This window comes from Homo sapiens, chromosome 1 (assembly GCF_000001405.40).
Source record: "Homo sapiens chromosome 1, GRCh38.p14 Primary Assembly".
NCBI classification, from domain to species: domain Eukaryota; kingdom Metazoa; phylum Chordata; class Mammalia; order Primates; family Hominidae; genus Homo; species Homo sapiens.
Window position 1 is genome coordinate 159,169,321 of NC_000001.11, and position 12,829 is coordinate 159,182,149.

General features: G+C 45.8%; 1 protein-coding gene and 1 pseudogene across 4 annotated transcripts in view, besides 1 other annotated feature; both read left to right on the plus strand.

Moving 5' to 3' along the window:
• Positions 1,432 to 1,932: an enhancer, noted in NCBI's record as "H3K4me1 hESC enhancer chr1:159140542-159141042 (GRCh37/hg19 assembly coordinates)". NCBI's record gives its function as "activates a minimal SCP1, AML or CMV promoter by ChIP-STARR-seq in naive H9 embryonic stem cells {active_cell/tissue: H9 hESC(naive)}" and the evidence as "EXISTENCE:reporter gene assay evidence [ECO:0000049][PMID:30033119]".
• Positions 2,295 to 12,829, plus strand: part of CADM3 (cell adhesion molecule 3) — a 31,699-nt gene continuing 21,164 nt past the window's right edge. For all 4 annotated transcript variants that reach the window (XM_024448760.2, NM_021189.5, NM_001127173.3 and 1 more), the window contains exon 1: positions 2,295 to 2,533. In XM_024448760.2, the coding sequence (XP_024304528.1) occupies positions 2,446 to 2,533 (88 nt within the window). In that variant the 5' untranslated portion in view covers positions 2,295 to 2,445. The remainder of the gene's footprint in view (positions 2,534 to 12,829) is intronic.
• Positions 9,153 to 9,239, plus strand: RNA5SP60 (RNA, 5S ribosomal pseudogene 60; annotated as a pseudogene).

Sequence of the window (12,829 nt, forward strand, 5' to 3'; positions counted from 1 at the left end):
CCTACCCCTGCATTAACCTGTTCTCTCTTAAGCCCACTTAGATGATCTCTAAGATGTCTTCTAGCTGCAAAGATAATACTCTTTATCCACTAAGACGCTTTAACTAGGGTAGTCTGATCTTTCTCTTCTGAAGCTGATTTGTTTTGAAAACACCCACATTACTGCCTGCTCTCTGCATAACTAACTTCATGCCAACATGGCCCCACCTCTGTGGGAAAGTTCAATCTTTCCTATATCTCTCCCCCACTCCCTAGCCCAGCCTCTTCTCTCTCTTACATCCAGGTTTCCACACCCCTCAAATATAGTACCCCCTTTATTTTCACTTTTTGGAGATTCCAAGATATCAACAAACCCTAGGAGACAGAATGGTCTGGAGTCACTGAGATATATCAAGTCAGGCAAGTCAGACAGCCAAAGATGGTCAACACTTCCCTGCAAGAAAATCTTAACTATCCAGGCACTCAAGAAATGTCCAAGAGGCAGGCAGAACTCTTCTCCCAGAAACCATCAACTCTAACAACCCTAAGAGAAAAACTGTGGGGCAGCATCCTGACAATCCAGAAGGATTTCCCTGGGGAATATTTCCCCTGACCTCTCCATCATTGCTTGTAATTTATATAGGACTTTACTGGTAACCAAGTACTTTCCACACCCCTGCCCGTGAGTTTCTGGGTGACAGAGACATTAACTACATCACAGAGGGCTGAAAAACTCTGTTTTCAAGAAGGAAAGATTACCCAAACATTAAGGATTAGCCCAGTGAGACAGTCATTAGCAGACAAAGAGAGCTGGTCTAAGAGTTAGAAGACATGCACCCAAATCCCTCATCTAGGGATAAAATATTAGCCTCACAGGATTGGAAGACACTTTAAAATCATATTGTTGCACATCCCAGCCAACACTTGTGTCTTCTACTATTAACTGTCAGTGTAACCTTGGTTCAGTTAGCCTCCTTTGAGCCTCAGTTGTACCTATATAATTAAGGGGTTGGAATAGACATTTTCTAAGAATTCTTAGATATCTAATATCATTTTATTCTAGAATTCTAACATTTAGAAATGTATTTCCAAAAGCTAAGTTTCAGTAAAACTGATTTAGAAAGATCCCTTTCTGAGATATATCAAGACTCGGAGATACTCAGTCACAAAGAATGGCAAACACCAGGGACTTGGGACACTTAAGCCAAGACCAAGTACAAACACCCTGCATCTCTCATCTTGTTATATCTGGCCTCAGGATTGACAGCAGCTTTGGTCACAGACGCAGGGGTCCTTGGAGGGTTTCTAGATCAGACTCTTCATCCATGAACCTTACTAACTCAAACTTGAGATGGGCGAGATCTGCAAAAGAACAAGAAAGAAGAAAACGTATTGGAGAAAGGGACCGGGGGTTAAAGAGATGTAATAGGGAGGGTTAAGAAAGAAAACGACTGAGTTGCTTTGTTAGGCTGCCAGATTGGGCAAGAGTCTGGGGTGAAATCATGTTTTCAGAGGGTGAGTTATTTCCTTGACATGAGATTGAGGGAGACATTGGTTCCCAAGGCCTGGGAGTTTGTTGGAAAATGCCTTTCAAGGGAGATTGCCTGGGGCCACGAATTGTTGCTGGACAGATAACTATGGGCTCTTGGGTAAGAGGAATCAGGGATGTTAGGGTTTAGGAAAATGATGAGAGTTAGCAATTATCCACTGGACAGGTGTCCCTGGGTACACTGTTGATAGGGGGACCCCAGGGCTTAAGGCCAGGGGCCACAAATTGTTGCTGGACAGATAACTATGGGCTCTTGGGTAAGAGGAATTAGGGATGTTAGCGTTTAGGAGAAGGCTGAGAGTTAGTAGTTATCCACTGGAGAGATGTCCCTGGGTACATGGTTGGTGGGGGACCCCAGGGCTTAAGGGGATCCCCAGTTGCCAAAGGATGGAGGGCGGAGCTGGAGGACCTCAGGCTAGTGAGCACGCCCTTGCCCAGGCCTGCAGTGGCTGCACTCGCCAGCTGGCCCATGGCCCTGTCCGACTCCCCTCCCTCCACCCCAAGCCTAAGAGGGGTGAGCGCAGGGTCCCACTGCTGAGCCAGCTCCCTCCCTCTGATCCACACCCGAGCCCGGCTGGCCGAGCTCCCGGGGGAGAGGGTGGAAGGCACCACGAAGGCAAGGAGGGGGTGTGGGAGGCGGGGGGTGTGGGGAATGCGGCAGCCTGGCCCCCCCGCGACCAGCCCAGCCCCCCGCCAAACCCCCTCCACCTCCAACCAAATGGTTTGCTCCGAGCGCCCTATTTAATCCCCGCGACTGCAGCAGCGCCGGCTCCCTCCCGGTCCCCACCTCGGCCCCGGGCTCCGAAGCGGCTCGGGGGCGCCCTTTCGGTCAACATCGTAGTCCACCCCCTCCCCATCCCCAGCCCCCGGGGATTCAGGCTCGCCAGCGCCCAGCCAGGGAGCCGGCCGGGAAGCGCGATGGGGGCCCCAGCCGCCTCGCTCCTGCTCCTGCTCCTGCTGTTCGCCTGCTGCTGGGCGCCCGGCGGGGCCAACCTCTCCCAGGACGGTGAGTGAGGGAGGGGGCGGCGCCTGGGGAGGTGGGGAGTGACCCGAGGCGGGGGCTGGGATCGGGAGTCTCGCGGAAGGAGCCTGTTGGCTTTGTTTGGAACCGGGGTTAAAGTCACCAGCCGCTGCTAATACCCTTGTGTCTGTCTCTGAGCATCCGTGTCTCTGTGGACTGTGGGTGTGCCGGTGTGTGCACCCTTCTGTGTACACCACTGAGCGTGTGTCTGCGTGTGCACCGGGGTTTGGCTCTCGGGGCTGATGTCCGTTAGGAGCAGCCCGGGGTCTGGATGTGTTGCTGTCCGTGTGCGCGCGCGTCTGTGTTGGTGTCTGGCTCTGCGTTTCTGTGTCAGTATCTGTGTGTATGTCTGTGTCAGTGTGTGTTGGGGGCGGAGTGAGATTTGTCGCTGTTTCAGTCAGGGCGTGTGTCGGGTGTTTGTGTATGTATGTCTGTAGGGGTTGGGTAGCCAGTGCAATCCCCCAAACTGCTGTATGCAAACATTTCTGCTCCCCCGCCCGTCCCCCACCACCCGCGGCGCAGCTCCGAGTGGGCAGAGAAGGGGGCCTGGGTGAGGCTGCTGAAGGGGGCGTGGGCAAAGAAGAGGGCCCTTATCCTTGGAGCAAAACAACAACACAGGGCGGAGGGGGCCCAGGATGGCAATATCCCTGGCAGTGGTAGAAGCTGGGAAAAGAAATCCGACAGGAGCAGAGGCGGGGTGGGGGTAGGGGGGAGCGCAAAAGAAAGAATCAAGATATTTGGGGAGGAGGATGCATGAGAAACCCAAAGCTTTCCTGGGCTAAGCACTGATTTTCCCAAATTTGGGATGGGGTAGCATACCTAGCCCCTTTGCCCCAGTCTGGAACTCAAACCTTCGCTGGTTCCTAATGGTAGAGAGATGAAGGAAGGGAGTCGGGGGAGAAAGGAGGCGGGGCCAGGGGTGAGGGGACTTGGGGAAGAGCCCCTCCCGCCCTGGGCCGGGCTATGTAGGTCAGCGCTGTGGGGGCACCTCAGCTTTCTTAAAGGCTACTAACGGTTAGTGGGATGCCAGAGGGGCAGCCTGTAGGGAAACCCGGAAGGGGTCCACAGCTCCGAGCCTCAGGTCCCTGAGGAGGGAGGGCAGGCTGTGAAGAGACTGAAGGAATGCATCCTCCTCCCCCCACCGCCCTGTCGGAAGAGGAGGAGGGCTGGGATGGAGGAAGGGGGAGAGGGAACAGGACCTCTGTGGAGCAAAGGGAAGTGGGGAGAGTGAAGGGGGAGGGTGGTGGCTATGCCCGGCCAGATGCCAACGAAAAACAGAAAGAACCGCAGGGGAGGAGAAAGGGGAGGTGGCTCCTGGGCGATGGACCCAGTGGCCAGCAGGGATGGGCACAGGGCGGGGCGGGGGTGGAGAGGGGAGGGGTTGAAACTGGGAAGGATGATGTAGAGAATTTCATCTGAGGAAAACAGGCGAAGAGCCAGGGTGCTGGAGGAATAATCGCTCCACCTCGCCTGACCTCCCCCATCCCTGTCTCCATCGTGATAAAGGAGCTTCCCCTGGTATGGGGACCCTGGGGATCCCCTCCCTATAGTTGGCTGGCTGGCTTACTCCTTCTGCCCTCTACCCATCAAACTCCCCAAAGGGAGTTCCCGCCCTAGTCACCACAGAGACAGCAGCCTCTCCTTTCCCCTACGTGGAATCCCCTTCCCCAGAGGACTGCACTGATGACCCCACTCACTGAGGAGCTGAAGGGAGTCCTTGGGGAGAGCAGGCTAAGTGCACGACAGAGAGGCTGCTGGGTGTTTGTGCTTCATTAATGACCCTGCTACTAGGCCTTGACTTTCAACTGCAGCCCCTGGCCTTCCTAACCTGCTGAGTTTTATGACGAGAGGCAAATATGATCCAAACTGCAACTGTTCAGCAATGGGAACTGATGGTGCTAGGCTGGGCCCCAAAAAGAGAGAAAGACGTCATCCAGAAAGCTGTGAGCTCTTCTACTCTAAGATGTAAAAAAAAACTATAGACTAGAGTAAATCAGTATACTAGCCAAGTCTTTCTTCACCAACTACACTCTTCTTTCTTGGTCCTCAAACTGGGGGTTCAGCCCCTATTCAGGCTTAAAGTTGAGAGGAAGAGAAATGTTACATCCTCATATTTAGAAATATGCTTCAGAGCAGTGGCCTGAGAGAAACAGTGGAAAGCAGTAACTTCTGAATGGGGAATTTCTAGAGAAGAGGTGGGGAAGTGGGAGATGAACAGGAGGGGTCTGTTTCCAAAGAAGAGTCAAACCAAGCATCATTTTCCTTGAAGAGCATTATCTTTACAGATAATGGACATCTGTCTGGTGTGCAGTATCTCAGGACACACTGATGCATGAGACATAACCACCATATCTTCTGTCTTAAATTAATTCTATCTTTTAGTTTCTGGATCTAAGAAGGCCAGTGCTGATGGTGGGAGGTAAATGCATAGATTTAATGCTCACGGACAGTAATCCTGAAGACTATTTTGCACACAATCATGGACATGTGTTTCGTACCCCTGAGTTGGCCTGGGGCCCCTAGGAAGAGAACTAGGCAATATGTATATGTATCTTAACTGGTAATGTTTGACCAAAACTATGAGAGATGTGGTGGGAAGGTTTAAGGACAAGATACTCTTATGGTGATGTTTGAATTGTCAAGGGTGTTGTGGTAGCATACCTATTCCCATTTAAAATAAGGAAAACAAACTTAATGTGCTGCTGGGGCATATCATTCCCTGGAGCACAGCATAAATTTTTTAAGCTTCATAAGGCTGAACAGGGATTGAGAGGGCAAGCAGCTGATAACTAAGACTGGCCATGAGTGTTGTGGCTAGAAGTTCAGGAACAGGTAAGACATTTAGAATGTCCCATCTGCCCTTCCTTCTCACATTTCCCCACTAGTTTTCACAGTGGTTGACAATTCTGGGTTTGGAGGACATAAGTCCTGTGAACTTAATGTGTCCTCTCTCTGGTGAGCAGCTCAATATTCAACACTGTGACCAGCTTTCTTGGGCTCTTCCTTCTGAAGTTATTTCCAGCACTCTGTGACTTGGCCTAGGGTAAAGATAGATAGACGGATAGCCTCTCTTTGTTTCAGATAAGGTTATAGCAATTTAACCTTGTACTGCACTGCCCCACACATGAACATCTATTTCTTCTCAATGACCTCTGTCCACTACCATTCATTCTACAGCCCCCTGGCCAGATGCCCAGTGAGGACATCATGCCCAATGTGCCACAGAAGTCCAGCAGGCATTCACTCTAGTGCTGTCCACAGATCTGTTTGGCAGATCAACTCCATCCAGTTTCTGTTCCTAGTTGCAGCTGTAACTGTTCTGTTGCTGTTCCTGTTCTCCTCCTAGTTGCAGCTGTAACTCTTGGGAAGGATATGCTCTCCTTTTAGACATGTGCATTTTCTGGCACAGAAAAGTTAAGACCATCACAGAGACACTTGCATAGCAGAGTTTAGTTAATTCCATGAAGAATCAGTGTGTTTCATGTAGGTCCTAATGTATGTAACGTCAACTGCCTACCCAGCAGTTATGCCATTCTATTCTAAGCTTCTCCATAGATCTGGATAGCACTGTTAGTTTTAATAGTTTCCTCTAGGGCAGCAGTTTTCTCATTTGTTTTTAAAACAAAGATGTGAGACATTTTTAACAAATGAGGAAAACATATCAAAGGAGAATGCTGTTGTTGAAATGGTGAAGTAAGACCTATATCCCTTTTCCCTGTCTTACTGGCTTTTACACATTCTTATAATCCTTAAGGAACTACCTGGGGTTCTACCACACAGTTCAAAATCCTCTGTCCTAGACTGATAGAATGAGCCAGCTTACTACCCTTAGGCTCTTTCTCTTTCCTCTTCCAACTGAAGAAGAAAGAAGGTCCAAATCTAATTGCAAGAGTGCCTTGTTGGAGATATTCACTATTCACTTGGAGAGAGTGACTCATAGTTCTGCAGCCATAAAATTCCAGAGACAGCATCGCTTTGGCGTTCTGGTTACTTTGAAATAACAAACTGAGAGGTTGTGCCATTGCTCTGTAAATTCTTAGATTTGATTTTGGTACTTCTTGATGTTACTACTTTCTTGCAGTCCAAATAATATGTAAAACAGGATCAAAAGTTTATTTTCCTTAAATCACTTGGTAGGAAAAAATATCACCAGAGAAAGAAAACCCCTGGGGCTGTGACTAGTCTTATTCTTTGTTGTTTCCTACTCCAGTGGAACTGCATACTGGCTCAACAATCCCTTTTTTGTCATCTAATTCTCAGTAATGGAATTTTACCTAAGGATGGTGATCTAGGTTCCAGATTCTTGTTGAAAGCAAGCTGTGGATTGGACCAGCTACTTACTGACTACTGAGTGAAAAATTCAAAGTTATTATAAAGTTTTGGTAATTATATTTTCTTTTATTTTTCATGTTAGAATGTAATGTTTCATGTTTAACACTGACTATAGGCCCATGTACTAGAACATTTTGTTTCCTGTATGGGGTCTTGTTTTAGAGGTCCACCCTTAATCTCTGAGAATAGCAATCCCCATGGAAATGCTTACAAAAGACAGAGAGAAACAAACCATCAGAAAAGGACCCTGGAGAAGCAAGCCATCAGAAAAAGATTCTGTTTCTAAGAACTTGCTCCGATTAAGTATAAATACTTCAGGTCATCATAAAATGAAGAAGAACAAGTTTCCAGGGCTAGAGACCTGTTTCTGCCTCTGGGATCAGCAGTAGTGATGATTTTTTACAAGGTCAGAACCAGCTGGTGCCCAGGGCTCCAATAACTACCCAAGTAAAAACCCAGTCCAATTCTGTTATATATGACAAGAAGATCCATCCCTTCTAGTACAGAGAAGTCGAGCTCTCAAGAGGCTTGAACGCATGAATCTGTTGAGATTTTTACACAATAGAAGCTAAGATGCTAAGAAGTAAAGGTACATATTCTTCACTGAAGCAGCAACTACTAAAGAATCATTTCTTTCTTTACCAAAATTTTCCTAAGCCTTAAGGCCGTCATCAAATTCCTCAACTAACAGAGAAACTTCTAAATCCTGAGAACAATACTCTTCTTAAGAGGCATGATTCCATACCTCTCTTCTAGTGTGATTGTCTGAACTACTTACAGCAATTTTGGATACATTGGGACATTCTGAGTCTGATACGTCTCATACCCTACCTGACGAAAATACATATTTTGACTTTCTTGCATCCTACTGTCTCTGAGGGGGCACAGGCTCTCTGTTCCCTCTTTAGAAGATAGGCCTAATTTTACTCACGGTAAGTTGTAGCACATTAAAAGCCCCTCCATCACCACTAATATCTAGGTATTTAACATAATCACAGAAGATCATGTTGACAAACTGAGTCTGGTGGTGGTCCTCATTTTTCAGCACAGTCTCTTGACTGTGTATCAACCAGACAGGTTCAAATAAAGCACTTCAGGAGGCCTTATAGAGCAAGTGATGAGCGTAGAGTGATCCTAATAGAAGCCATGATGTCTGTTCTTTTAGTTCCTGTGCTTGAGAGCTGGCTGCCTTACCCCGTGATCCCAGTTCCCCTGTTCTTTATGGAGCAAACTATTATACCTGTGCTTTGAGCTCTCCATGGTGCTAGCCCCTGACAGTGACACTCCAGGCTTTTCTTGTTGCTCTCCATGGTCCTGTTTTACCTCCAAGTTTCATAATCTCCTTATTCTCCACAGTGCAGTCCCCAGAACAGGGCTGAAATCTCCCTCCCTGCCACCACAAACACACAGGTTCTTGGTTATGCTCCCCGACCTGTTCCACCACAAACACATGACAAAACTCTGAGATATAGATCTAGAAAGTCCTCACAGCCATCTGATCAACTGCAGAAAGGGAACAGAAGGGCAAGCAATTCTTAGGTTAAAAAAGAAGTGCTAGAAGGTTTTTGTAAGATGCTCAGGAAATTGTGGCCTACAGTGACCTCAAATGGCCTCAAAAGAACTGAATGTTTTGTCATATCTGGATTCATAGATTAAAAATACAACTATATATAGTTCTGTTTTAGATTGAGATAGTATTGCTCTTATATGATAACAATATACAGTTGTACTTTGGTATCCATGAAGGATTGGTTCCAGGACCTCCCACAGATACTAAAATCTGCAGATGCACAAGTCCTTGATATCAAATGGAGTGGCATTTGCATATAACCTATGCACATTCTCCTGTATACTTCGTTATCTCTAGATTACTTATAATACCATATACAATCTAAATGCTATGTAAATAGTTGTTTTACTGTATTGTTTAGGCAATAACGACAGGGGAAAATGTCTATACAAGTTTAGTACTGGCACAGCTTTTAAAAATATTTTCAATCTGCAATTGATTGAATCTATGGAGGTGGAACCCATGTATATGCAGGATTGACTGTATACACTATAAGTGTGGAATGTAAAATGAATCCTACCCAGTTTATAAACATGTACCTCTTAATAGCACTCTGAGCATGACAACCAACTCTAACTTTCCTGTCATGGTGCTTTTTTACCCTTTTCCCTCAACCTTAGCAAAGACAATACATAACAATGGGTTATCAGAATAGATAATGGAGGAATCCAGTAAATGAGAGGCATAGAAAGCAAGTATCAAGTGTACATCCATACCGTCCTGAACGCACCGGCTCTTGTCTGATCTCGGAAGCTAAGCAGGGTTAGGCCTGGTTAGTACATGTATAGGAGAAAACAAATATCAAAATCTTGACTTAACTTCCCCACCTTTATAACCACCTTGTACAAAACTAAATGGCTTTAAATATAACCATCTTCTCCCAGAGCACAGGTCCTTGGCCATATCTCAGTAGATGCATCTTTAAACTCTACTCTGCTATGCTTTAAGGGTACCTTCCAATAAGCTGATGATATCAAACGGCGTAGGGAGCTGAGAGTGCTCAGCCCGTCAGTCTTAGATTAGCCAGCCTGTTCTTCACATCGCATCAGAACTACACAAGCTTCTCATCCCCTAAATGCTGATTTTCCCATGTCAATTTATGGATAAGAGTTAATATAATAGTTAATACTTATGAGTGACCTACAGCAGAGTCTAGTTGGAGAGGCAGGCTTCCAGGATGAATTTCCAGGACTCCTCTTTCATTTCTTCATTTGAAACAAGGAGAAACTTCATTCCTCAAGGACAGGTAATGAGAGTGATTTATCTCTATGAGCGAGGCTTCAGCAAGACAGAATTAGGGTTATAGTAACAGCTGGAGTGTCTCCCATCTACTCATCTTCCTAAGCCCCCTGTTCTCATGAAGAGCAGGCAGGTTTCAGAAAGGACTCAAATACAGAAATCTCAACATATTTTTCAGCACATATATCATTCTTTAATGTGAACTCTTACCCCTGGGATTCTTCAAGATTCTCTTCTCTCTCTCTCTTTCTCTTGGAAGTCTCCAAGAGAACAATAAGAAAGCTAAATAACTTAAAGAACAAACTAAAATGTTGTCTTCTCTAAGGATTTATTTTCCCTTTCCCCAGCTAGACTTACACTAACTGTGTATTGATTGCTAATTATAAGCACCTTTGGCTCATTTACTTCTAGTTCAGGGTCAAGAAGGTCAGGTGCATCACCTTGCTCTAGAGAGAAAAAAGAAAAAGTAATGAAGGCTGATGTCTCAGGCACTCATCTGTAGGCTAGCCATTATTCATTTCTCCCCTTTCTTCATATACTCCCAAATACTGGCAAGGTAGGATGAAGAACTAGTACTTCTGACAACAGATTTTATTGGAAATATGCAGATTCTTGTTTCATATTTTACTTTTACCCTTCTATGACCTGGCGCTTTGCTTCCAATTCTGATTTCAGTAAGTATATCAATGAGAGGTAACTTGGAACTTAGCATAGCAGTCAGTCAGTCTGAAGAGCCTGGAGCTGAGTTCTTGAGTTATTATAAAATGAGAAGCCAGTTTTACCATCTGCTCCTAATCATTTTTTTTTTGCCCAGCAAATGCAAAAATTACAGTGAAACAATTGCACTCACTAGTTCTTGCTGTAGTTCTTAAGGATGAGATCTTTCCAAATACATATTATATGTTTCTTCCCATAACTTCTATCTGCTAATCTCACACAAATATAAAAATTACCACCACTAAGCCCCTGAGCCTCCCATATTTTGATTTATCCTCAATTGCCACTTAATGCCAACTCTTTTCTGGTTTCCAAGCCCTGGAGTCCAATGTCAGTGACAGATGGACTGAGCCTCAACCCTGGAGAGGAGAGGATTCTGGCCCTCTCCTGGGGAGTTTGAGCAGAAGAGAGAGCCTGAATTCTGCTTTGGGGAGAATCTCTGAGTTTAAGCCATATGGTATTCTGGAAGTAAGGGGTTCTGATTAATATGGGCATGTGAAAAGGGCTCTGTATCTGGGTCATAATAAAATCTGTGTGTTCATGTCAGAAAAAAACCCCAGAAATATGATTAGTGAGAATCAGAGTGTCTTGTGTGTGTGTATTGAGGGGCACATGTCAAAATATGCATCTATCTTAGGGAACAAAAATGTGTGTTTGCCCCCATCAAATAAGAGACACTCAATGGAGATTTAAGAAGAGAGATAAGAGTTCTTTATGTCAGAACAATATTATTTTCCATTTCGGGGACTGTGAGATCTGTGGACTTGGGAGAATGTATCTATTTCACAGAAGAGTGAAATTCTCACAAAGTGAGGCTAATGCGAACAATGTACCGCAATTTTAAAAATACAGATTTTTTTTTTTTTAAGTGAGAAGAGTGCAGGGAGACTAAATAGCAGTTAGGATTGGGGGAATCAGTGAAACTAGAGTAGTGTGGGTGTGTAGAGCAGAACACATTTTTCTTCATGTAATGCTCCTAACCATTGCCCTGAACCTGTCATCCACACCCAGACTCTGATCATCCAGTGAAGGGAAACAGTAAAAACAAGTCAGGAAAATCAGAACCAGCAGAGATGAGTGCTTTCTTGCTTGACTTCTAACAAATTAAACTTTTCCACAGCATTGTTATCCCACCACACCAAGCCATCAGCCTGTAATATCTAAAGTGCAACATAAGGAGCATAGGAGAATAAGACAGAGCCCACTGAGAAAGGGAATTCATCCATGCCCTCAGACAGGTATTGGGGCACTGGGATGGGTAGTGCAGAGTATGAGCAAGTTGTTGGAACCTGGGCTGAGATTTTTCATCTCCAGAGAATATATTCTTTACTTCTGATTTTCTGGGATTTCTGGCCCATTCCCAGTCTCTATTTTCCCATACCCTTCCAATGAGCTAAATTGAATTCTGCGTTTGACTCTGTTATGTTTCCTTTCTCAAGTACTTTCCTAAGATGAGGAACTTTTTCCCCCCAGTTTTATTACATATGTGTGAAAACAGCAAGATAAATTGGGGGAAAGGGTATAAAATCCCTCTACTTAGTTTAAGAGGACAACTAAGAGTTCAAAGTCTGGCCTCCTGACTGTATTGCATTAGAATGCAGATTTCAAGTCATACCTGTCCGTATGTCTAAAGTGTTTGATCATAGTGAGAAGGGAATGAGGAGATGGGATAAACAGACACTCCTAAAATGGCTCAGGGCTGTTATCATCCTGTCTTCAGGGGCCTACTCCAAAACAACTGAAGACAGTCAGTACCTGCACAGAATCTGTGCTCTAGAGGTCCTCACTGAGCCCTCCCCCGTGCTCAGTTTCACCTCACCCTCTCATCCTCTTCAGGCAGAACACTAGATGCTTGTCTAGAGCACACAGCCCAGTCCCAGAAGGAAGCAGCTAAGGCAAGGAAGAGACTCTTTCGGGATCAAATCCCCTCCCTTTTTGTCTCTCAACTGCAGTTCTCCTTGCTACAACTCAGTATTGGCTACAGAGGGGCTTGTTTTGGTTGGGGGCCAGCCCAGGGCTCCCTCCTGGTGCTAATGCACCAAGAACACTGACTCAATAGCAAATCAAAGCAACAGCTGTCCCCACCTCCTTCCCTGCCACCCACTTCCCAGTCTCTGCTCCTCGGAATCTTAACTAAGTCTCTGAAGGCCCCCCTCAGCCTACCACAAGCCCACTTCTGCCTCCAGATTTTTTCTCTCTCCAGCTCAAGAATAGGACATGTTCCTCTGCTTTTTTTCTTCTCTTCTCTTCTGGCCCCTGTCTCCTGCTTCACAATCAGGTTAGCATTCCCTCAGCTCTTCACCTTGCAGATGCCAGCAAGCACACAGACAGACACACACACACACACACACACACACACACGCACACACACATGCCACCTGTCCTCACAGTCACCCTTTTTAGCTCCAAAGGGCATGGCAGTG